The sequence below is a fragment of the Homo sapiens genome, chromosome 3, assembly GCF_000001405.40.
Source record: "Homo sapiens chromosome 3, GRCh38.p14 Primary Assembly".
In the NCBI taxonomy this organism is placed as follows: Eukaryota; Metazoa; Chordata; class Mammalia; order Primates; family Hominidae; genus Homo; species Homo sapiens.
The window spans coordinates 195,687,697-195,713,416 of record NC_000003.12 but is presented as its reverse complement, the minus strand read 5'-3'; the positions used below and the strand labels follow the sequence as shown (position 1 = coordinate 195,713,416).

General features: G+C 47.2%; 2 long non-coding RNA genes, 1 other non-coding gene and 2 pseudogenes across 4 annotated transcripts in view, besides 3 other annotated features; all 5 read right to left on the bottom strand.

Annotated features, from left to right (window-relative positions):
* MIR570HG (MIR570 host gene) lies at positions 1,542-24,919 on the bottom strand. The gene is made up of 5 exons (NR_122105.1): positions 24,620-24,919; positions 23,979-24,078; positions 5,149-5,283; positions 4,576-4,670; positions 1,542-1,851 (listed from the first exon to the last, which is right to left on the bottom strand). It is a non-coding gene; the product is annotated as an MIR570 host gene (long non-coding RNA).
* Positions 1,639-2,309: an enhancer, noted in NCBI's record as "H3K27ac hESC enhancer chr3:195437979-195438649 (GRCh37/hg19 assembly coordinates)". NCBI's record gives its function as "activates a minimal SCP1, AML or CMV promoter by ChIP-STARR-seq in naive H9 embryonic stem cells {active_cell/tissue: H9 hESC(naive)}" and the evidence as "EXISTENCE:reporter gene assay evidence [ECO:0000049][PMID:30033119]".
* Positions 1,712-11,809, bottom strand: SMBD1P (somatomedin B domain containing 1, pseudogene; annotated as a pseudogene).
* Positions 2,310-2,981: an enhancer, noted in NCBI's record as "H3K27ac hESC enhancer chr3:195437307-195437978 (GRCh37/hg19 assembly coordinates)". NCBI's record gives its function as "activates a minimal SCP1, AML or CMV promoter by ChIP-STARR-seq in naive H9 embryonic stem cells {active_cell/tissue: H9 hESC(naive)}" and the evidence as "EXISTENCE:reporter gene assay evidence [ECO:0000049][PMID:30033119]".
* Positions 7,794-8,365: an enhancer, noted in NCBI's record as "NANOG-H3K4me1 hESC enhancer chr3:195431923-195432494 (GRCh37/hg19 assembly coordinates)". NCBI's record gives its function as "activates a minimal SCP1, AML or CMV promoter by ChIP-STARR-seq in naive H9 embryonic stem cells {active_cell/tissue: H9 hESC(naive)}" and the evidence as "EXISTENCE:reporter gene assay evidence [ECO:0000049][PMID:30033119]".
* MIR570 (microRNA 570) lies at positions 13,920-14,016 on the bottom strand. The gene has a single exon (NR_030296.1). It is a non-coding gene; the product is annotated as a microRNA 570 (primary transcript).
* LOC124909477 (uncharacterized) lies at positions 14,347-16,872 on the bottom strand. The gene is made up of 2 exons (XR_007096227.1): positions 16,828-16,872; positions 14,347-14,387 (listed from the first exon to the last, which is right to left on the bottom strand). It is a non-coding gene; the product is annotated as an uncharacterized LOC124909477 (long non-coding RNA).
* The window catches only part of SDHAP2 (SDHA pseudogene 2), a 30,833-nt pseudogene continuing 29,658 nt past the window's right edge, over positions 24,546-25,720 (bottom strand). Inside the window, exon 15 of the transcript NR_003265.3 lies at positions 24,546-24,884. The product of NR_003265.3 is annotated as an SDHA pseudogene 2 (transcript). The remainder of the gene's footprint in view (positions 24,885-25,720) is intronic.

Sequence of the window (25,720 nt, the reverse complement as noted above, 5' to 3'; positions counted from 1 at the left end):
TCAGGGAGGAGTTAGGGCTGGAGGACTGGTCAGGGAGGAGTTAGGGCTGGAGGACAGGTCAGGGAGGAGTTAGGGCAGGAGGACGGGTCAGGGAGGAGTTAGGGGAGGAGGACTGGTCAGGGAGGAGTTAGGGCTGGAGGACCGGTCAGGGAGGAGTTAGGGCAGGAGGACCGGTCAGGGAGGAGTTAGGGCTGGAGGACCGGTCAGGGAGGAGTTAGGGCAGGAGGACCGGTCAGGGAGGAGTTAGGGCAGGAGGACCGGTCAGGGAGGAGACTTAGGGCAGGAGGACTGGTCAGGGAGGAGTTAGGGCTGGAGGACCGGTCAGGGAGGAGTTAGGGCAGGAGGACTGGTCAGGGAGGAGTTAGGGCAGGAGGACAGGTCAGGGAGGAGACTTAGGGCAGGAGGACCGGTCAGGGAGGAGACTTAGGGCAGGAGGACTGGTCAGGGAGGAGTTAGGGCAGGAGGACCGGTCAGGGAGGAGTTAGGGCAGTAGGACAGGTCAGGGAGGAGTTAGGGCAGGAGGATCGGTCAGGGAGGAGTTAGGGCAGGAGGACCGGTCAGGGAGGAGTTAGGGCAGGAGGACCGGTCAGGGAGGAGTTAGGGCAGGAGGACAGGTCAGGGAGGAGACTTAGGGCTGGAGGACTGGTCAGGGAGGAGTTAGGGCAGGAGGACCAGTTAGGAGGCAGTGACTTAGGACTTCAGCAGTGGCACTAGAAAGGGGATGGATATGAACGACATTGCAAAGTAAAACTAGAGAGACGGCCGGGCACAGTGGCTCACTCCTGTAATCCCAGCACTTTGGGAGGCCAAGGCGGGTGGATCATGAGGTCAGGAGATCGAGACCAGCCTGGCCAACATGGTGAAACCCTATCTCTACTAGAAAAAAAAAAAAATAGCCAGGCGTGGTGGCGGGCGCCTGTAATCCCAGCTACTCCAGAGGCTGAGGCAGGAGAATTTGCTTGAACCAGGGAGTCGGAAGTTGCAGTGAGCTGAGATCGCACCACTGCACTCCAGCCTGGGCAATAGAGTGAGACTCCGTCTCAATAACAAAACAAACAAACAAAAACCTAGAGAGACTTGGCACCTTGCAGAGAGAAGCAAAAGATGACCCTGAGGTCTGGAGTCCAGGAAGCCAAGGACAGCAAAAGCATCCACAGAAACAGGAAAAGGGCAGGTGTGGGAGGGAAGGTGAGAGGTTCATCAGACCTCACAGCCCCTGGCAGCGCCTCCTGGATCTTTGAAATCCTGTGCACCCCAGGAGACTCCGGGAGGCCCATCTGAGCTCACCGGAGACAGGTCTGCCGTCTCTCCTCTCATCACTGGGGACAGAAAGCCTGAACATGAGGCCTGGACTACGGGGCTCAGACCAGAATATTTCCAGACTTAAGGGCAGTAATGTGGAGCCCAGGAAGGAATATTGAGGACAGAGGGCACATTACTTAGCTCAAGGGGTGCTGGGTTCTTATTTTCTACTTTCAAGAAATGTTTGCTATAGTCACTGTAACCACCACAAAACAGTGAATAATACCATGAGCCAAATGTATGTTTCACAATTTGTATGGCTGATTCTACGCACATTTAAATGTGTTTATGACAATTGTAGATTTCGGTTTTCCTCTGGTTAAACCAATGTGGAAGTACACAGGATGGGAGCTGAGAGACAAGCATCCTGGGCCCAGCCATGCTGGCCTCAGTGGGCCAAGCTGGGGACAGATGACCTCTGCTCCGTGGATCCTGCTGGCTCAGGGTGGGGAAGGGGCCTCAGGAGAGGAGTCAGGCTCTCTTCTTTATTCTCCTCACAGCCATGTTGAATGGCATTCCTGGGAGGCTGGTTTGGAGAACTCACTGAACCTAAGTGAGCAGGAAGTGAAGGTCTGTTCCCACCTGTGCCTGTGTTCCCAGATAGCAGCTGCCTCCAGGAGACTCACCAGGAGCCAGGTCCCTCCATACCTCATCTCAATTAACTCACTCACCAGGAGCCAGGTCCCTCCATAACTGATCTCAATTAACTCACTCACCAGGAGCCAGGTCCCTCCATACCTGACCTCAATTAACTCACTCACCAGGAGCCAGGTCCCTCCATACCTCACTCACCAGCAGCCAGGTCCCTCCATACCTCATCTCAATTAACTCACTCACCAGGAGCCAGGTCCCTCCACACAGAGTCTCAATTAACTCACTCACCAGGAGCCAAGTCCCTCCATACCTGATCTCAATTCACTCACTCACCAGGAGCCAGGTCCCTCCATACCTCATCTCAATTAACTCACTCACCAGGAGCCAGGTCCCTCCATACCTGATCTCAATTAACTCACTCACCAGGAGCCAGGTCCCTCCATACCTCATCTCAATTAACTCACTCACCAGGAGCCAGGTCCCTCCACACCTCATCTCAATTAACTCACTCACCAGGAGCCAGGTCCCTCCATACCTGATCTCAATTAACTCACTCACCAGGAGCCAGGTCCCTCCATACCTCATCTCAATTAACTCACTCACCAGGAGCCAGGTCCCTCCACACAGAGTCTCAATTAACTCACTCACCAGGAGCCAAGTCCCTCCATACCTGATCTCAATTAACTCACTCACCAGGAGACAGGTCCCTCCATACCTCATCTCAATTAACTCACTCACCAGGAGACAGGTCCCTCCACACCTCATCTCAATTCACTCACTCACCAGGAGCCAGGTCCCTCCATACCTCATCTCAATTCACTCACTCACCAGGAGCCAAGTCCCTCCACACCGAGTCTCAATTAACTCACTCACCAGGAGCCGGGTCCCTCCACACCTCATCTCAATTAACTCACTCACCAGGAGACAGGTCCCTCCACACCTCATCTCAATTAACTCACTCACCAGGAGACAGGTCCCTCCATACCTCATCTCAATTCACTCACTCACCAGGAGCCAAGTCCCTCCACACCGGGTCTCAATTAAATCACTCGCCAGGAGCCAGGTCCCTCCATACCGGGTGTCAATTAACTCACTCGCCAGGAGCCAGGTCCCTCCCTAATGGATCTCAATTAACTCACTCACCAGGAGCCAGGTCCCTCCACACCTCATCTCAATTAACTCAGTCACCAGGAGACAGGTCCCTCCATACCTCATCTCAATTAACTCACTCACCAGGAGCCAGTCCTCTCCATACCTGATCTCAGTTACCTCACTCACCAGTAGCCAGGCCTCTCCAGACCTGGCTTAATTCTCACTATACTTAATTCAATTAATTCTCACTATAGCCCTATCAGACAAACTCTAGGATACACATGAGGATACAGAGTCTCAGAAAGGCTGAGAAAGTGGCTTGAGGTCACCTAGGTGGTAAGTGGTAGAGCTAGGAGTTGAAGTCAAGTCTGACTCTCAAGTCCACGCTCTTTCCATTGCACTATCTGCTTTTCTTTCTCCCCAAAGCCACAATATGCCACGATGCGGCCCAAGGCCTCTCCTCCAGTACCGTGCTGAGGGCTCTGAACAGATCAGGGCTGAAGCCAAGATGTCATCCAGTGCAATACCCACATGACCTCCGTGAATATCTACCCTGCCTTAACACTGTTTATCTTTAGGAAGCAGGATGCCTGAGGTCCAAACTTCTCCCTGGTGATCAAACCAGCTAAGACTGATGGAATCCAAGATGGCAGCTCATTTGACCTCTAACTTCATTATAATCTAATTTCCATGTTAAATGACAGTCCCACTAACACCGTAACAGTCAACAACCAACATGACAATGATGGGAAAAAATAACATAAAAAAACAAATAGGAAGGTGGCACTCTGGTTTTGAAAATTTCTCCACCCAGACCCAGAAAACACATGATTCCTCCCCTTGCTTTTTTCATTTTTATTTTTGTAGAGATGGGGGTGTATCACTATGTTGACCAGGATGGTCTCGAACTCCTGGTCTCAGCAATCCTCTCATTTTGGCCTCCCAAAGTTCTGGGTTTATGGGAGTGAGCCATTGCACCTGGCCACTCCTCCCCTTGCTTTTAATGCTCAGCCCCTTCACTAAAGATGCCCTGTATCTGTGACTTCCTGGGTCTCACGAGCAGAAAAGTTGATTTGTGAGCCAAGCTCTCACTTCTCAATTCCATGGCCACCAAATAAAGCCTGCACTGCTTGAGGCTCACTTTCGGTTTTGCATATTGGCTTCATGGCACCAAACAGGGAAAGACCCCATTTTAGGGAAAGTGGCTTTGTCAGTAACAAGGACACAGAAGGAAAGAAATGGAGGATGATTTAGGGCAGAAGTCAGCAAACTATGGTCTATGGGCCAAATCTGGCCACTGCCTGTTTTTGTGCAACTCATAGGCTAAGAATGTTTTCTACATTTTTAGATGGTAGGAGAAGAACAAAAGAGGAAGAATGTTTTGTCACAAAAGTATATGAGATTCAAATTTCAGTGTCCACAGACGGCAATCCTGGCTCCTACCCCTAAAACAATCATTGCAGTGGAGCTCTGCCCTAGCTACGGCCCCTTTCTTCTTTTGGTTCCCTGACTTTGGGGCCTGGAGGGCACAAAGGCAAGGAGCAGGCTGCCATCCACCCCTTCTCAGAGAACCTGCAGGGAGCTCACCATGCTCTGCATCCAGTCTAGGTGGCTCCTAGCGGGGCTTGGTGGGTTCTCCATCCTCAGCACCATCTGCAGCACCATCTTGGTCATCTGAGAAGCTGAGAGAAACACAAGGTAAATGTTCCTGTCCTCATTTCTGCCTCCCAACCCCACTGCTGCTGCTCAATGTCCCCAGTATCTCTCTGCAGACTCCTGTGTGCCCTCAAAAGTCTACACGGTACCAGTCAAGAGACATCCATACTGCAAGATGATAGAAAGGTAAGTGGAACCCAACCACCTCATTCTCTACCCTCATGTCTACCACGGACAGCTGAACCTCTCCCTGTGGAACCTGGAAAAGTAGCTCAGAGAGGAGTAGCAGGTGGCAAGGAACATCAGGGAAACAAAGCTAGAAGGAGCATGTAGGCACCTTTGACCTGAAATAGACAAGATGCAAGATCTCAGGATTGTCAGGGACCTTAGGAACCATCTAGGCCACATCCCGGCTTTGGCCTGAAGTGCAGGCAAAGGGTTTGCCTCTGCCAGCCATCGCATCCAGCTTTGCTGTAGGTGGAATCGGGCCTGTATGTGAGTTACCAGGGTTGCAGAGGACACTGTGGTCTGGGTGGCAGTCTGGTGCCACATGGCAGAATTCATCACAGTAGCAACTTCCCCTCTTGCAGCGGTGATCCGTCCCAAGACAGCAAAGGTTCTGGGGTTGGGAGCAGCTGCCTGGAGAAAAAGGAACATTAAAAAAAAAAAAAAAGATTAAAATTAGCCAGGTATGGTGGTGCACGCCTGTAGTCCCAGCTACCCAGGAGGCTGAGACAGGAGATCACTTGAGCCCAGACGCAGGAAGCTGAAGTGAGCCATGATCACACCAGCGCACTTCAGCCTGGGTGACAGAGCAAGACCCTGTCTCAAAAAAAAAAAAAAAAAAAAAAAAAGGAAAAGAAAAGATAGATTTAACAAATGGTGCTTAGACAACTGGATAAGCACATGCAAAAGAATGCATTTGGACTCCTACCTCAAACCATATACAAATATTAACTCAAAATGGACCATAGACCTAAATGTAAGAGCTGAAACTGGCTGGGTGCGGTGGCTCATGCCTGTAATCCCAGCACTTTGGGAGACCAAGGCAGGCAGATCACTTGAGGCCAGGAGTTCAACACCAGCCTGGCCAACATGGTGAAACCCGTCTCTACTAAAAACACAAAAATTAGCTGGGCTTGGTAGCATGCACCTATAGTCCCAGCTACTCAGGAGGCTGAGGCAGGAGAATTGCTTGAACCCAGGAGGTGGAGGTTGCAGTGAGCCAAGATTGCACAACTGCACTCCAGCCTGGGCAACAGAGCAAGACTCTGCCTCCAAAATAAATAAATAAATAAAAATAAGTCAATCAAATTTAAAACTGGACAAAGGATTTAAATAGACATTTCTCCAAAGAAGATACACAAGTGGCCAGTGAGCATGAAAGATACTCAACATCATTAATCATAAGGAAATGCAAATCCAAACCACAATGAGATACCACCCCACATCCAGTAGGACGGCTAAGATAAAAAATAAAACAGCAAGTGTTGGCTGGGTGGGGTGGCTCACACCTGTAATCACGGCACTTGGGAACACTGAGATGGGTGGATGACGAGTTCAGGAGTTTGAGACCATCCTGGCCAGCATAGTGAAACCCGTCTCTACTAAAAATACAAAAATTAGCTGGGTGTGGTGGCATGCACCTGTAGTCCCAGCTACTCAGGAGGCTGAGGCACGAGAATCTCTTGAACCCAGGAGGCAGAGGTCGCAGTGAGCTGAGATCACGCCACTGCACTCCAGCCTGGCGACAGAGCGAGACCCCATCTCAAAAAAAAAAAAAAAAAAAGCAAGTGTTGAAGTGTTGCTGAGGGTGTGGAGAAATTGGAACCCTCATACACTGCTGGTGGAATTGCAAAATGGTGCAGCCACTTTGAAAATCAATTTGGGGAGATGAGGTGGCAGCAGAAAAGAATAAAAAAAAAAAAGAAAAAAAAGAAAAACAATTTGACAGTTTCTCAGAATGTAAACATAGAGTTGCCATATGACCCAGAAACCCTACTTCTGAGCCTGTAGTTAGGAGAATTAAAAACACATGTTCACACAAAAACCTATCAATGAATATTCATAGCAGTGTTATTCATAATAGCCAAATAGTAGAAACAATTCAAATGCCCTTCAACTGATGAATGGCTAAAACTAAATCTGGTATATCCATATAATGGGATATTACTCAGCCATAAAAAGGAATGAAGTACAGATGCATGCCACAACAACAATGAAACTTGAAAACATGCTAAGTGAAAGAAGCCACTCACAAAAGGCCGTGTATTGTATGATTCCATTTATATGAAATGTTTAGAATAGACAAATCCATCAAGACAGAAAGTATATTAGTGGTTGCCAGGGGCTGGTGAGATGTGTGGACCAGGCAGTGACTGCTGATGGGTCAGAGTTTATTTGGGGCATAACAAACATGTTCTGAAATTAGACAGAGGTGGCCAGGCGCAGTGGCTCACACCTGTAATCCCAGCACTTTGGGAGGCCGAGGCGGGCAGATCATTTGAGGTCAGGAGTTTGAGACTAGCCTGGCCAACGTGGCAAAACCCTGTCTCTACCAAAAAGTGCCAAAAAAATAAAATAAGACAGCAGTGATGGTTCTGCAACCCTGTGAATACACTGAACAACACTGAAATGTACACATGGTGAATTGTACAAAAGGGTAAATCTCACATCCTGTAAATTATCTCTCAATAAAGCTGTTATTAAACAGAGAGAGAGAGAAGGAGAGAAAAGGGGGAGATAAGATGAGGACGGTAATGGGAGTGACAGCGAAGAGAGAAATAGAGAAAACAGCAGAGAAGAGAGTGCCTAAGAGGGAGAGAAACCCCTCCCCCACTCCCCACAGTTAGAGGAAGGTCTTCCAGAGCCCTGTTTACAAACCAGTTCTGCCAACTCTACCCCCTGCCCAAATTTCCCCAAATTGCTCAGCTCAGTTGTGATCTGGTCATTGTCATTCCCTCCAAGAGAAGGGGATGCATCTTCTTTAAGAGTGCGGCAAGCAAGGCGTGGGCAGGAGGGACGCTGGCCCAGTTACCTGGCGAGTCTGTGGCTCAGGTGAGCAGGGGACCCAGGTGTTGTCACCCCAGGACTCTCAACACTCTTCTCCGTCTACTTGACTTTGACCTTCCAAATTGCTTCCTGTTAGGTTAACACCTGGCTCTTTAGGGCTAAACTGGAGGGCTTTGTTTAGGGATAAACTTGAAGGCCTTTCAAAGTTGACACGATCAACAGGGAGCAGGCCTCTGAGCCCTGTGGGCCTGGGTGTGGCTGAGCCAGTCTGTTGTGGAAACAGGGCCAGCAGGTGTCCGGTAGTGTGGTCTGGGGGGTCAAGACTCTGAAGGTGAGGGTGGCCTGGCTGGGGCCACAGCCTCTGAGTTTGGCCTGGCTTTTGCCTCATGTTCAGCTCAGGAGCCTCCTGCAAGTGATCAGCTTCTCTTCTCATGTTGTCCCTCTTCTCCAGAGCCTGGTGCTGCGTCAGGTTGTCACCAAGACCAGGGATCAACCAGAAAGGGCTGGAGTGGAAATAGAGCCCCAGGAGCCACCCAGACTAAGGTTGCCGACAATCTGTGAGACTGAGTTCAATTCAGTGGTCATAACCAACATTTATTTCAACAGGATGACACTGAATGAAATAGAATAGAATAGACCCACATACATTGTATGTAAAAGTCAACTGAGTTCTTTTTGAAATTTCTGTTGGTTTTTATACACACAGATGCACTTACTGGGTCAGAGTATAAAATGTATTTATTAAAGTGAACTGGGGCCAGAAACGTTGGAAAGCCACTGATCTAGAGAGATGTCCTCATTGTATAGACAAGGGGAGAACCTTTTGCCCATGGCTGGGAGTCAAACCAGCAATCCTGACCTCTCCCCTGCTTTCCCACCATATCGTGCTCAGGGTCCTCACTCAAAAAGCCTCTTGTTGCACGTGCTACGGAGCTCTGCTGTTCTCTAAACACCCTGCATTCTCCTGCCTCTGAGCCTTTGCTCAAGCTCTTCCCTCGGCTTGGAAGGCCCTTCCCTCCCATATCCATTAGAATTAAATATTCTATGCTTCAAGGCAGCATTTGAAGACAACTTCCCCCGGGGTGCCGAGGAGCTAGCTCATTATTATGAAGATGAAAAATAAAGAATCAAACATTGATCCAGCCTTTCCATCCAAGCCAAATAGTTGACAAGGGAAATATCTTCACGACAGAGAACCTTCGGCTAACAAGTGCAGAAAGAATGATAGAAAAGCACTACTTGGCAGCCCCTAATGAGAAGTGGATCTCAGCACAAATCATTAGTGGACAGAATTTTATAATGGGTGCACTATCTGGTGGATGAAGTTTAACACCAGTAAAAGTGGGACAGCTGGACACTTTGTGTCTCCTTCGAGGTGCGATAGGAAGTACCCACCTATGGATTCTTCCTGCCTAAGAAATCTCCAGTCCTGATCTCAACTACCAGAGTTCAGGAAAGACAGAGGCAGAGGGACATCCACAAAGATTCAATCAGTCAAACCCAGAAGGTAGGATATGCCGCAGGACACAGTACCTGGTTCGTTCAACAGCTAAATGACATGAAAAAATGGCACTGATCTAGGTATAGATTTAAAGACATTTAAGAAATATGCTAGTTAAACATGTGTGCGTATCTTTTTTGGATCTTGACTTGAATAAACCAGCTGTAAAAAGGCATTTTTCTTTCTTTCTTTTTTTTTTTTTTTTTTTTTTTTTTTTGAGACATGGTCTCACTCGGTGCAGCAGACTGGAATGCAGTGGTATGGTCACAGCTCGCTGCAGCCGCAACTTCTGGGGCTCAAGCAATTTTCTCACTTCAGCCTTCTGAATAGCTGGGACTATAGGTGAACATCAACACACCTTGCTAATTTTTAAACAAATTTTTTTTTTGTAGAGACTGAGTCTCGCTATTGTACCCAGGCTGGTCTCAAACTCCTGAGCTCCAGTGATCCTCCCACCTTGGCCTCCCAAAGTGCTGGGACTACAGGCATCAGCCACCACATCTGATCTTATTTTTTCTTTTTCTCTTCTGCTTTGCTGCTGAATAACAAGATATTTTTGACAAGTGGGGGAAATATGAACACTGATAGGTATTAAACGATAGTAAGTAGTTTTTTAAATTAATTAATTAATTAATTTTTTTTTTAAAGACAGAGTCTTGCTCTGTTGCCCAGGCTGGAGTGCAGTGGCGCAATCTCGGCTCACTGCAACCTCCACCTCCCTGGTTCAAGTGATTCTCCTGCCTCAGCCTCCCGAGTAGCTGGGATTACAGGTACCCGCCACCATGCCTAGCTAATTTTTGTATTTTTAGTAGACACAGGGGTTTCACCATGTTGGCCAGGCTGGTCTTGAACTTCTGGCCTCAGGCGATCTGCCCGCCTCAGTCTCTCAAAGTGTTGGGATTACAGGTGTGCGACCATATTTGTTTTGGCTCTGATAAGGTATTGTGGTTATATTTTTTAAATATGGGGGATAAGAGCTTGAGCATAATGTTGATAATATTGAAGGTGGCCAACTGGTACCTTGGGTTCATCATCCTATTCTCTTTACTTTTGCATGTGTTTGAATTTTTCCACAATAAATAGCTTTGGGTTTTTTTTTTTTTTTTTTCCTGAGATGGAGTCTCCCTCTGTCACCCAGGCTAGAGCGCAGTGGCGCAATCTCGGGTCACTGCAACCTCTGTCTCCCAGGTTCAAGTGATTCTCCTGCCTCAGCCTCCCAAGTAGCTGGGATTACAGGCACCCACCACCACACCTGGCTAATTTTTGTATTTTAATAGCGATGGTATTTCACCATGTTACCCAGGCTGGTCTTGAACTCCTGACCTCAAGTGATCCACCCGTCTCGGCCTCTCAAAGTGCTGGGATTACAGGCGTGAGCCACCGCACCCAGCCAAGAAGTACAGCCTTGTGCCACATCACGATGTTTAGACCGATGATGGACCATATATATGACGGTGGCCCCATAAGATTATAATAGGGCATATGCAGAAACCCGATATATGGTGCTCGATATTGGCCTTGAGGATCAAGCAGGGGAAATGACTGATGTTCAGTAATGGGACATGTGCTGGGACATGTGGCTTTCCATGTGGAAAACAAACATGTAAATAAATATATATATAAACCATCTAGGTTTATGTAAACTCTCGATTTCATTGTTGTGTGAACTCTATGATATTCATACAACAAAGAAATCATCTGATGATGCATTTCTCAGAATGTGTCTCCATCATTAAGCAACAGCTGACTGTGTTCCTACCAATGACATCTAGTTTTCTCCCAAGAGAAGTTCTAGGGCCAGGCACGGTGGCTCACACCTGTAATCCCAACACTTTGGGAGGCGGAGGTGGGCAGATCACCTGAAGTCAGAAGTTCAAGACTAGCCTGGCTAACATGGCGAAACCCTGTCTCTATTTAAAATGCCAAAAATTAGCCAGGCATGGTGGTGCATGCCTATAATCCCAGCTACTCGGGAGGCTGAGGCAGGAGAATGGCTTGAACCCAGAAGGTGGAGGTTGCAGTGAGCCGAGATCGTACCACTGCACTCCAGCCTGGCGGGGGACAGAGCAGACTCTGTCTGGAAAAAAAAAAATTAAAAAGAGAGAGAGAGGAGAGAGAGAGAGAAGTTCTAGTAAATGCAACTGTATTCACCCTGTTGTATTTCCAGGGATGTTTGAATAAACCCAGTAGACTGGTGCCTGGAAATTGCCCAGTGAGTCTGCCTGTTAATCTGGATCTGGGTTTATCACACCTACCTTCCCTCCTGTCCCGTCCACCCCAGCCACCCACAGTGCCCACGCTGCCTCTATCCGAGGGAGCATCCTCTGGATACTAGACCCTCCCAAGCTGATCATCCAAAGACATCTTATCCAGATATAAAACTGGATACACAAAGAAGCCACATCAACCATATAGTCGGTACTTAATAAGTGTCTGAATACATGAATTATTTGATTAATGAATTAATGAATGCTGGGTCACAGGAGGTGGGTCATGCCAGAGACAAAACAGATTAATTGATTGAATGAATGAGAGAGCAGAGATTGGGGTCTCTTTGACCTGTAGCACAGATGCCAGCCTAGCTCCTCACCTGTCTTCACCCCAAGGCTCAGCCACAGCAGGAGGAGGAGGACCAGCCACGTGGCAGCAGGCATCAAGCAGAGATAGAAGTGCTGCAGCGTCCAAGGCCTGGTCTTTAAATATCCACCCATCCCAGCCAGCCCACCTGGTTCCTCCCTACTCCTGGGGAGGAACCAGCAGACACCTGGGCAGTCACTGGCAGACAGCAGGAGTGACACAGGTATCCCAGCTGCTTGAAATAGCTCACCCAAGCAGAGGTAATTTTGACATCCTGGAAACTCCAGCCTCCAGGGGAAGAATCTGAAAAACCAGAGTGACAAAATGACAGCGCTCACAGGAACTTTGCAGATTATCTAATCTTTTTATTTATTTTATTTTATTTTTTGAGACAGAGTCTCACTCTATCGCCCAGGCTGGAGTGCAGTGGTACGATCTCAGCTCACTGCAACCTCTGCCTCCCGGGTTCAAGAGGTTCTTCTGCTTCAGCCTCCCCAGTAGCTGGGATTACAGGTGGCTACTATTACACCCAGCTAATTGCTGTATTTTTAGTAGAGACGAGTTTTCACCACGTTGGCCAGGCTGGTCTCAAACTCCTGACCTCAGGTGATCCACTGCCTCAGCCTCCCAAAGTGCTGGGATTACAGGCATGAGCCACCACACCTGGCCAATTGACTTTTATTAGCATTCATATACAGGTTTTGTGTGAATATATGTTTTCATTTCTCCGGGATAAATGTGCAAAAATGAAATTACTGCATCATATAGTAGTTGCACATTCAGTCATAAAAAAAAACAGCCAAGCTGTTTCCCAGAGTGGCTGCACCACTTTAAATTCTCACAGCAGTGATTGAGTGGTACAGTTCCTTTGCATCCTTGACAATAGTATTGTTACTATTTTTTATTTTGGTGATTCTTTTTTTTTTTTTTTTTTTTGAGACATAATCTTGCTCTGTCGCCCAGGCTGGAGCGCAGTGGCATGATCTCAGCTTACTGCAACCTCCGTCTCCTGGGTTTAAGCAATTATCTTGCCTCAGCCTCCCAAGGTGCTAGGACTACAGGCGTGTGCCACCACACCTGGCTAATTTTTGTGTTTTCAGCAGAGACAGGGTTTTGCCATGTTGGCCAGGTTGGTCTTGAATTCCTGATCTCATGTGATCTGCCTGCCCCAGCCTCCCAAAGTGTTGGGATTACAGGTGTGAGCCACCATGCCTGGCCTTATTTTGTTGATTCTAACACGTGGTGATATCTCCTGGTTTAAAGAAGCGTTTCCCTAATGGTATCAAACATCTTTTCATGTGCTTATTTGCAATCTGTATATCTTCTCCAGTGAAATGTTGCTTTGTATCTTTTGCTCATGTTCTAATTGCATTCTTTGTTTTGTTACTATTTTAAGACTTTTAAATGTATTCTAGATACTAGTCCTTTGCAAATATAGTCATGCATCGCATAAGGACATTTTGGTCAATGACAAACTGCATATAGGATGCGGTCCCATAAGATTATAATAATGGGCCTGAAAAAATTCCTGTTGCCGAGTGCAATGCTACTCATGTGTCTAGTGATGCTCGTGTAAAGCTACTGTGCTGCCACTTGCATAAAAGCACAGCGCACACCATTCTGTACAGTACACAATACTTGATAATGATAATAAATGTGTTCCTGGATAGCACAGCACACACCATTCTGTACAATACACAATACGTGATAATGATAATAAATGTGTTCCTGGTTTATGTATTTACTATAATATACTATTGATCAGTGTTTTAGAGTGTACTCCTTCTCTCTATAAAAGAATTAAGTGAACTAGCAGGCCCTTTGGGAAGTACTGTAGAAGGCATTGTTACCACAGGCGATGACAGCTCCATGTGTGTTATTGCCCCTGAAGACCTTCCAGAGAGACAAAATGTGGAGGTGGAAGACAGTGATACTGATGACCCTGACCCTGTGTGGATCTAGGCTAACATGTGTTTTTGTGTCTTAGTTTTCAACAAAAAAGTTTAAAAAGTTAAAATACTAAGTTTATAAAGTTAAAAAGTTACAGTAAGCTAAGGCTGACTTATTGAAAAAATGTGCTTATACATGTAATATAGCTAAGCTGGCTTTTGCAAACATAGAGTCCTGTGGATGTTATGCTGACTTCGGCTTGGGGTTTTTCACAGAGAGAAGCATGGCAAGGGGGACTCCATCAGGTTGGTGCAAAGGTAATTGCTGTTTTCGCAATTAAAATAATGGGAAAAACTGCAATTACCTTTGCACCCACCTAATAACTTATCTAGGGGACTCTTTCTCCACCCAAAACCCAGGACACTTGGCCCACAACTACATCACCACCCCAGGGTTCCAGGACACTTGGCCCATGACTACATCACCACCCCAGGGTTCCAGGACACTTGGCCCACAACTACATCACCACCCCAGGGTTCCAGGACACTTGGCCCATGACTACATCACCACCCCAGGGTTCTTTACTATAGTTTTCTTGTTCTTCCTTCAATTACGTGTGACATTCCCAACTCCAAGATTCTTCCAGTCCTTCTCTCCCCCTTCATCTAAAGCAGGCTGTCATGAGTTTCTGTCAGCTGCAATCAAGAGTCATGACTCTTACAGTGGGTAGGATTACTCCCTTTTTTGTTGTCATTAAGGAAACCTGTAAGAGGAAAAACAAACACACTTTATGTGGAGAGACAGGGAAAGTTGTTCTATTCAGTCTGGAATCTAGTCCCTCAGCTGGTGGTCCACCTTCGGATTCACTGGTCTTGGGAGTAAGACGGTGCCTTGTAGTCAAAGAAGTGAGGAATTCTGGTGCCTCCTGAGGGTGGAACTGAGGAGAGGAGACGTGAGAGAGGATGCTGGAAAGGAGGAAGCAGCCAGAATGTGTAGGGCCTTTGTGGCCAGGCCAAGGAGCCTCAGGGAATATCTGAGCGTCTTAAATAGGTCAGAGGGCAATTCTGAAAACAAACTCCTTCTACCTGCTGTGTAGGCAATGAGTTGTCATTGTTAGATAGAGGATAAAATGAACCCAATTAGATTATTGCCATCATTCCAGTGATTGAAGATGTTGATCTGTAATAGGGTAATGGCCATACACTTTCGAGAGGAAAAATGTTCAAATTTAGGGGATAATTAGAAATCTGCACTTACAGCCCTTGGTGACACTTTTCCTATGAGCCAAACGGAGAGGGGGAGAGAGAGAGAAGGTGGACAGTCACCGACATATGAGGCAGTGGAAGAGGAACAGGCATGGATAGGAAGAGAATTGTGGGACACACTGGGTTCGAGATGCCTGTGTGAGACAGTCTCATGAATATGTCCAGTAGTATATTGACCAAGCAAGTCTGTCAGGAGCCTCTGGAAATGAGGTACAGAATTTGATAGTCATCACTATGGAGATGGTAACCTGAGCCGTGAGAGAAGCTAAAATCCCCGGGGAGAGGATGTAGAATGAGAGGAGAAAATGGGCCAGGACAAACACAAGGAATGCTCGGAGGGAGGGGCAAAACCAGAACAGTACAGCGTCCCCAAACCAAGGAAAAGAATGTTGCCAGAAGAGGAGAGTCAGGCTGTTTCAAACTCTGCTAAGAAGTGAAGGATGTTGCATATTGAGTAGAGTCCATTGGGGTTACCAGTCAGGCTGACTCAGGGATCCTCTTTGGCAGAAGTAGTTCCAATGAAGTGGGAGGAGGAAGGGAGGAGCAGAGGCCAAATGAGCGTGAGGAGTGTTTAGGAGTTGACAGAAAGTGTATCCACTTTTTTGAGACGTTTAGCCAGGAAGAGGGAGAGACATGGGGCAGTAGGTGGAGGAGGAGATGAAATTAAGGGAGTGTATGGAGTTTTAAAATGGAAAGCTTGATCCTGTTTAAATGCTGTTTTATGCCCCTACGAGGGCGAGGTTAAACATACAGAATAGAGGCATAACTGATAGAGCCAAGACTCCCACCCAGGAGCGGGTTTCGAGCGGCACCTCTCTAATTCAATCCCAAAGGAAAAGAGGATACATGTGGGTCCAGGTACATGCTGAGGTTTGGTGGCAGGACTTTGAAGGAGGTCCCATCTGATGGCTTCTATTTCTCCTGTGAAATAGGGGAAGCCCTGTCTGCTGGTTGTGATGTGCCGTGACAGTCAGAAATGCGGGGAAAAGGGGACAGGTCTGAAACGGGAGGCGTTAAGAATGGGAAAGTAAAGGCAGGCGCGATGGCTCACGCCTGTAATCCCAGCACTTTGGGAGCTCGAGGCGGGTGGATCACCTGAAGTCGGGCATTTGAGACCAGCCTGGCCAACATGGTGTAACCCCATCTCTACTAAAAATACAAAAATTAGCCAGGCATGGTGGTGTGTGCCTGTAATCCCAGCTACTTGGGAGGCTGAGGCAGGAGAATCGCTTGAACCCAGGAGGTGGAGGGTGCAGTGAGCTGAGATCGCGCCGCTGCACTCCAGACTGGGTGGCAAAGCGAGACTCCAACTCAAAAAAAAAAAAAAAAAAGAATGGGAAAGGGAGAGTGTCTGGGGAAGCAGCGTTGCCTCGGCAAGGCCTGAGACCGGCTGGGGTTAGAGATCAGGACTCCCGCGTGGCCTCGTCTCTGCCTCTGTGCATTTTCCCCCAGCAGGTCAGCAGTGTGAAAGGCGGGGGTTCTAGTAGGTCTCACAGGGAGACAATGCAGGAAGGGGCTGAGAATTGCAAGTGAGAGGTTATTGGTAGGACGGACAATGCAGGAGCTGGATGGACTGCACGGACTGAGCGATCGCCACCGAGAGATATTTGGGGTACCCTGCCCCAGTCCCCAGCCCTCAGCCCCCGACCCACCATGGGAGGTGGGAGCAGCGGGCAGGCCGGTTGGGGGCCAGATACCCAGGCAGTGGGATGTGCAGTGGGAGGGGTCTCCGCCCCTGCCCCGGGTCCCCACTGGCCCCTCCGCCGCCGACCGGCCCCCCCGCGGCATCCCAGAGCCGACCCAGGCCCAACTAGAGGAATGGCTGCAGAGCTGGGATCCTAATGACACAGGACAGTGGTGGAGCGTTAAGAGCTCGGTGGTAAACGTGCACTGAAATACAGTCATGCTGTGCAGAAGCTCTCTAGTTTCATTAGATACCTTTTGTCAATTTTGGCTTTTGTTGCCATTTCTTTTGGTGTTTTAGTCATGAAGTCTTTGCCCATGCTTACGTCCTCAATGGTGTTGCCTAGGTTTTCTTCTAGGATTTTTCTGGTTTTAGGTCTCACGTTTAAATCTTTAATGCATCTTGAGTTAATTTTTGTATAAGTGTCAGCAAGGGGTCTAGTTTCGGTTTTCTGCATATGACCAGGCAGAGTGAACAGGCAACCTACAGAATGGAAGAAAATTTTTGCAATCTATCCATCCGACAAAGGGCTAATATCCAGAATTTACAAGGAACTTAAGTAAATTTACAAGAACAAACAACCCCATCAGAAAGTGTGCAAAGGATATGAACAGACACTTCTCAAGACATTTATGCAGCCAACAAACATGAAAAAAACTCATCGTCACTGATCATTAGAGAAATGCAAATCAAAACCACAATGAGATATCATCTCACACCAGTTAGAATGGTGATCATTAAAAAGTCAGGAAACAACAGATGCTGGAGAGGATGTAGAGAAATAGGAATAGTTTTACACTGTTGGTGGGAGTGCAAATTAGTTCAACCATTGTGGAAGACAGTGTGGCGATTCCTCAAGGATCTAGAACTAGAAATACCATTTGACCCAGCCATCCCATTACTGGGTATATACCCAAAGGATTATAAATCATTCTACTGTAAAGACACATGCACACGTATGTTTATTTATTATTTTTGAGACGGAGTCTTGCTCTGTTGCCAGGCTGGAGTGCAGTGGCACGGTCTCGGCTCACTGCAACCTCCACCTCCCGGGTTCAAGCGATTCTCTTGCCTCAGCCTCCTGAGTAGCTGGAACTACAGGCACACACCACCACGCCCAGCTAATTTTTTGCATTTTACTAGAGAAGGGGTTTCACCATGTTGGCCAGAATGGTCTTGATCTCCTGACCTCGTGATCCACCCGCCTCAGCCTCCCAAAGTGCTGGGATTACAGGTTTGAGCCACCGCGCCCAGCCCCGAGCACATGTATGTTTATTGCGGCACTATTCACAATAGCAAAGACTTGGAACCAACCCAAATGCCCATCAATGACAGACTGGTTAAAGAAAATGTGGCACATAGACACCATGGAATACTATGCAGCCATAAAAAAGGATGAGTTCATGTCCTTTGCAGGATCATGGATGACACTGGAAACCATCATTCTCAGCAAACTAACACAGGAACAGAAAACCAAACACTGCATGTTCTCACTCATAAGTGGAAGTTGAACAATGAGAACATATGGACACAGGGAGGGGAACATCACACACCGGTGCCTGTTGGGAGGTTGGGGGCAAGGGGAGGGATAGCATTAGGAGAAATACCCAATGTAGATGACAGGTTGATGGGTGCAGCAAACCACCATGGCACATATATACCTATGTAACAACGCTGCACGTTCTGCACATGTATCCCAGAACTTAAAGTATAATAATAATAATAATAAAGGAATTGAGAGACTGTTGATATCAACTGTTCCCTGAGCCACATGGAAAGCTGTATCCTCTGCAGGCTGCTTGGTGAGTATGTGAGGAGGTATATTCATTCACTTTGAGACCTATTTCTCTAAGAAAGGGTCCTGAAAGGCTTTCCCCTGCTACAGGGACAGCCCTTGGCAAGGAAGCCACTGTCCTCAGGCACACAGGGCTCCTTCATCTCCTGCAACAGATACAGCCCTTGGCAAGGAAGCCACTGTCCTTGAGCACATAGACAGGGCTCCTTCATCTCCTGCAACAGGGACAGCCCTTGGCAAGGAAGCCACTGCCCTTGAGCACATAGACAGGGCTCCTTCATCTCCTGCAACAGGGACAGCCCTTGGCAAGGAAGCCACTGTCCTTGAGCACATAGACAGGGCTCCTTCATCTCCTGCAACAGGGACAGCCCTTGGCAAGGAAGCCACTGTCCTTGAGCACATAGACAGGGCTCCTTCATCTCCTGCGACAGGGACAGCCCTTGGCAAGGATGTCACTTCCTTGGGCACACAGACAGGGCTCCTTCAGCAGACAGCAGATAGATATGCAATGCAAGCCTTGGTTTTTTGGGATGATTCCAATGCAGCACCAGATACGTGTGTCCAATTCTGGGGTTTGCTCATAGGAAACCCATGTGCCAGCAAATCTATGTCACATTCTCCAGTATCACCTTTATAAGGAATAAAGTCAATTTACTGTTCTTCTGTAAAAAGAAAGAAACGTATTCATGACTGTAGCTTGGCTGTCACTCAAGTGCAAGTGAATGGTGGATGTGGCCGCGCGGCTCCACGCACTGATTCATAATCCCCAAAAGGGACAAGGGCAGACCCAGCTCTCTGCAGGGCAAACGCTCCACAACCCAAAACACTTGTTTCTGTTGTTGTTGCTGTTTGGAAACTCCCTCTTCTATTTCCCACCTCCCTCTTTCCCGTTCTCATTCCCTTTTCTCTGCTCCTATTTCTGTTTCCCTCAGTTCCACCTAATACCCCGTGGTGTCACCCTAGCCCTTTCCTCTACCCACTCCAGCCTTACTACCCCCAACGTCCCACACCCTGGGAAACACCAAGGTCTGCCTCTGTACCTCCAAGTTCTTTCCCCGTTATTGCCCTGGGTCAGTCCTTTGTGGGGGCTCCTCTCTCCTCTCTTGATTTCTTTTCATCTGGCTAACCTCTAATCCTGTAAGATTTACCTCAAATATCTTTCAAGAAGTATTTTCTGAATCCAAGGAGGACCTAAAAGCCATTCTGCTGGCCTCCCAGAGCTGAATCTGCCCATCTCCCCCGGATTATATTAAAATTATAAGTCATGTAAAATCCTTTTGGAACGAGACAGGGTATGATAAATAAGAAATATTCAACAAGTATACGTTACTTGTGTACACATACCACCTGACTTCTTTAACAACACATTGCAAGAAATAAAAAGATGGAGACATACGGCTGGGCGCAGTGGCTAATGCCTGTAATCCCAGCACTTTGGGAGGCCAAGGCAGGTGGATCACTGAGGTCAGGAGTTCGACACCAGCCTGGCCAACATGGTGAAACCCCCATCTCTACTAAAAATACAAAAATTAGCCAAGTGTGGTGGCAGGCACCTGTAATCCCAGCTACTCGGAAGGCTGAGGCAGGAGAATCTCTTGAACCCGGAATGCGGAGCTTGCAGTCAAGCAAGATTATGCCACTGCACTCCAGCCTGGGTGACACAGCAAGACTCCATCTCAAAAAAAAAAAAAAAAAGAAAAAGAAAAAGAAAAAACACCATGCATGCATACTCATATGAATGTACAAATGGATGAGTCTAGAACAAAAGATACTAGCCTGATACATATACAAACTATGCAGCTGCAGTCCCTGCCTCTTCCGCAACCCTGACCTCTAAGAAAGCTCTAACTCTGAATCCTGTCAGCACCTGGGCTGTGCTGCTTGGGACAACATTGTCTTCACAAGTCCTCTCCACATTCTCAGAGGTGGGGGTATTGCCAATGATGGGGGTTACTGCCTGAGTCCCGTCACCAGGGGACAAAGCTACAGCAGACACCACCATCTGCCAACAAAAAGAGAGATCATCTCCCACCCCTGGTTCTGCTGACGCAATCACTGGAAGCATCGAGGCACCACTATGTCCTCACCTGCCTCGGATTCAATTTCCTCCTAGCCAGGTCTGTTCTAAGGTCTCCAGAAGTTGAGAAATTAATTGAAAGATAACACTTTCCTCCCTGTGTTAAGGTTTATCACATAATGTATCCAAATACTGGGCCAGTCTTTCCTTTGGTCTCATTTCTATGAGCTAATCTGAAAATGCCTTTTCTGTTTTCCTTAGAATTTTTCTAAATGTTTCTGGGCGCTTGTGTTCCTGAGGCTTTCCACAGTGCACCCTCTTGTTCATCTGATGTCTTTGGCACATATAGGCCCTCGACAGGTAGTTGTTCAATGAACAGATGACCATCCTGTCCTTTGTGTGAACAAGCATAGCAAGTGCACATTGTATCTGTTTGTGTATCCAACAGCGTCCCTCCAAAGCCACTTTGTTCACTTATTTTCTCAGGATCACGGACGGCTGCATCTTGACATAAGCACACAGAATCTTTCCTTTTCCAGTCACTTTTCCTTTTTCCAGATTCCGGCCATAGAATTCCAGGCACAGAGCCAACCATGCCTGGCACCCCCTCCTGTCTTGGGACAAGGATACTTTCTCCTGTGGCTCCCATCTTGCTTCCAACATTCTTCTGCCAGAATTCAGTTTGGCGGACAATGACCTACTACTTTTAATTTTTTTCCCCTTTTTGCTCTTCTACCAAATACCGCTTTTCACCCAGGCTTTTCACTGCGTAGTGGACAATCTATCAAACAGGTGCTGTCCAGCGTGAGGGGCAGTTGCAAAGGTCTGCATCGGTGCTGGCTGATGGAACTTTCCGGTGATGGCATCATTCCGTAGCTGCACTGTCCAGTGAGGAGGCTACTTGCCACTGTGGCTACTGCTTGGGATGGTGCAGGTCTGAATATCTTACTCACAGCTCACCTTTTTGGTGCCTTTGATCCGTATTAGGAATTATCCACATCTTCTCTCTGGGCAATATTCTACTTTTTATATTGACCCAATTATTTTACTTCTTTGGTGTGTCCTTTCTCCTAACACATATGGGTTCACTTTGAAACCCTGAAACCCACATTTACAAAAACATTTTCAATATGAAACATTGTTCCATGACTCATTACTGGAGTACCATCAACATTTACATTTCCAGACCACCCACTGCCCAGTGGTTTTCTTGGTCTCAGTACTCATGAAAACGGTCTGAAGGTTTGTTTTGGGTTCCTAAGTAGTAGACACACGCACAACACTGCCTGTCAGTTATTTCTTGGAAACTAAATCAGCCCTTCTGTTGCCATCCTATCATGCTTCAGGGGTGCCTGTGCTAGTTTTTAATTCTTTGTCCTAACACTTAAATGTTTGCTCAAACGCCCATATTAATACTTCCTCTTAGTTTACAAAAGGATTTACTTTCTTACTGGTTGGGATGAAGCTGCCTGAGGTTGCCACCTGTTATTTTTCCTTCATTTATTGGACCATGTCATCCCATTACATGTTAGCCGTGGAGGTTTTCAAACTGTGTTCCCTGGACATGTTAGAAATGCAAATTCTCAGACCGAACCAGGACTGAATCGGAAGATCTGGGGTAGGGTCCCTCCAGGACTGAAAACGGAAGGTCTGGGGTGGGGTACCCCAGGACTGAATCGGAAGGTCTGGGGTGGGGTCCCCCCAGGACTGAATCGGAAGGTCTGGACGAGGGTCCCCCCAGGACTGAATCAGAAGATCTGGGGTAGGGTCTCCCCAGGACTGAATCGGAAGGTCTGGGGTGGGGTCCCCCCAGGACTGAATTGGAAGGTCTGGACTAGGGCCCCCCCAGGACCGAATCGGAAGGTCTGGACTAGGGTCCCCCCAGGACTGAATTGGAAGGTCTGGGGTAGCGTCCCTCCAGCTGATCCTGTTACACAGGTTAGAGAACCATGGCATTAGGGGTAGCAATTTGACAATTCTTTTTTTTTTTTTTTGAGACAGAGTCTCACTCTTGTTGCCCAGGCTGGAGTGCAGTGGCGCACTCTCGGCTCACTGCAACCTCCGTCTCCCAGGTTCAAGCAACTCTCCTGCCTCAGCCTCCTGAGTAGCTGGGATTACAGGCACCCATCATCATGCCTGGCTAATTTTTTGTATTTTTAGAGATGGGGTTTCACTATGTTGGCCAGGCTGGGACAATTCTTAAACTGTCATTCTTTACTCACTTACTTGCAGGAATTCTTATGTAAAGAACTTTCCCTAATCAACAAGGTTTCCCTGAATTGCAATTTGTAGAGAAAAGACAGGATAATTACTGATCTTCCTTCAAGTGTCCATTCCCAGTGTTAGGAGTTAGTGCCCTAGGTACCTCCAAGAGTGACCAATTACATGTGTTTGTTTGGTTTTGGCTTTGAAACCACCACTATGAATTCATGGTTTTCATGTATTAGAGACCACTTTCTAGGTGCTTGATGTGTCTACTGCTACTGGGGCAGAGGTAGAAAATGTGTCTACGGTAAAAGAACAACAAATGAGTTCACGCTTATATTTCTATTTCAAATTTAGTATACGGTTTTACACCTTTTTCTCAGAAAAATCTTGTTTTATTTTTTGAGATAGAGTTTTGTTCCTGTTGCCCAGGCTGGAGTGCAGTGGCACAATCTCGGCTCACTGCAATCTCTGCCTCCTGTTTCAAGCGATTCTCCTGCTTCAGCCTCCCCAATAGCTGGGATTACAGGCACCTGCCACCATGCCCAGCTAATTTTTCAATTTTAGTAGAGATGGCGTTTCACCATGTTGGCCAGGCTGGTCTCAAACTCCTGACCTCAGGTCATCTGCCCACCTCGGCCTCCCAAAGTGCTGGGACTTGGGAGGATTTTCCCTTGCCAGAAAAATCTTAGTTTTAGCATTAACATAATTAGTTATTTGCTTTAACTCCCACCCCACATAATTTCAAAGGATTAATACCTATAAGACGAGTAACGGAGATGATTGATTGAAATTTAGGATTCAGTGGCTCTATTTGTCTTTAGACTATGGCTCACTAAATCTGCACACTTGAAGTGCTGTGTTCTAGCGATCCTCTGATGACACATGAAGTAATAGGCTGCGTGACTGTCACCAGCCTGATGTGCAGTTGGGCTGCAGAACCCCGTGATGCTGCCTAGCCCAGCCAGCCCCAGGTCACTCCTCAGACTCAAACTCGATTCTGACACCACCAGCACCCGGGACGCTGCCTAGGGGCTTTCTCTGGTGGCAGCAGCATGTCCTGGAGCAGGCCAGGGGTGCCCGGAATTGACCATCCTGAACCTGTGCAGCGTGGGCTGGTGAAGGAACGCACCAGCTCCCACAGTGAACACGGGCCCAGCTGTCCACATGAGACCCGGCTCCCGGACGCCCCATGCTGCCGCCTCTTTCCTGTCTCACCTCCCACTTCCCTTCAGCTGCTGCTCAGGGCCACCTTCCAAATTTTTGTCTCAGGGTTGGCGCCTGTAGAATGCAATCCAAGGAATTTAGATTCATTCATTTCAGATACCATTCTTTCAATTTTAGGGACTATCTTAAAAACTTAGTTTGGTAATATGTAAAACACTTACAATTTCAAAGTCCAGATATTACTTCAGAGTCTATTTCGGTCTCACTTCCACCACTGACCCCTGTCCTCCACAGCAACCACTTTAGATTTTTATCTTTGTACTGTTTTAAGAAAAAGCAAATATATATTTGCATTATATTATATGTACTCTGCCCCTTATCAATAGGCGTTCCTCATTCCTCCTTCTGGTACGGAGTTCCCCACTGCACGAATTAATGTTCCTAATCCCTTACTGATGGACATTTTGATTGTTTCCAGTTTTACAAATGCCACAGTGAAGAACTTTGTGGCAAACACATTCAGGCTGTGAAAAGAACTCTGTGGATAAAGTCCTTTCATTTCTTTGCCAGAGTTTTTTTTGAGGCAGATTCTAGAATTGCTGAGTCTAAGGGCAAATGCCATGTCGTTTTGTTAGATGCTGCCAAATCCTCTTCCATGAGGCTGCAACGTTCTGCATTCCACAGTGACGTATGAGAGTCCTTGTACCCCACAGCTTCATAAACAAAGCATGACAGCAAACCTGCACGTTTACCCATCACACAGTTGAGAAATTTTATCTACTTTCACCTTTTTTTTTGGTTAGCATTTTTATTCCCAGCTTTTTTGTGGTATAATGCGCAGAAGGTAATGAACACATTCTACCTGCAAGCTTCTTCCTGTGCCTTTGGAATCTGCTCCTGCCAGTCTGCAGGGAACCACGGATCTGCTTTCCGTCACGTAGGAGGCATTCTCGACACCCTCTGTACACAGCATGCGCTTTATTTGGCTTCTCTTACGCAGCGTAGTGACTTTCAGATTTATTCAAGCTGCTGCGTGCGCCAACAGTCCACTCCTTCCTAGTGCTGAGGCCCCCATCACATGAGCACAACTGTTTCTTGTGTGTGATGTGTTGTCCTCTGGCTGTGCACTGCCAAAAAAGACATCATTAAAAAAAATTTAAATATAATGTAAGACCTGCCTTGTCTTAGGAAACGTTTTTCTGGCAGTGGCTCACACCTATAATCCCAATACTCTGGGAGGCTGAGGCAGGAGGACTGCTTGAGCCCAGGAGTTTGGGACCAGCCTGGGCAAGAGGGTGAAACCCTGTCTCTAAAAATTAGCCAGGCATGGTGGCTCACACCTGTAGTCTCAGCTCTTAGGGAGGCTGAGGTGGGAGGACTGCTGGAGCCCAGGAGGTGGAGGCTGCAGTGAGCCGAGATCACACCACTGCACTCCAGCCTGGGCAGCATGGCAAGACTCTGTCTCGACCAAGAAAAAAACAAAAAATTAACAGAAGGAAAAACAAAACGGCTTTCTTATCAAAAATACACTTTAAGAACAAATTTATAATATTAAGTTGCTGCAAAAGTAATTGTGCCTTTTACCATTGAAAGCAATGGCAAATACTGCAATTACTTTTGCTCCAACCTAATATTATTTTCTAATGACAAACTTGGAAATAACTGTCATTGCTCTCTAAAAAGAACAGCCTAAAAATAAAGCAGCAGCCCATTTACTTCTATGCCAGTTCTTTTAGCATTTGGTTATTTAAACCGGCAGTCCCTAACCTTTTTGGCACCAGGGACTGGTTTCACGGAAGACACTTTTTCCACTGACAAGTGTGGGGATGGTTTGGAGATGAAACGGTTCCATCTCAGATCATCAGTATTAGATTCTCATAAGCGGGGCATAACCTAGATCCTTCTCATGCGCAGTTCACAACAGGATTCCACTCCTATGAGAATCTAATGCCACCACTGATCT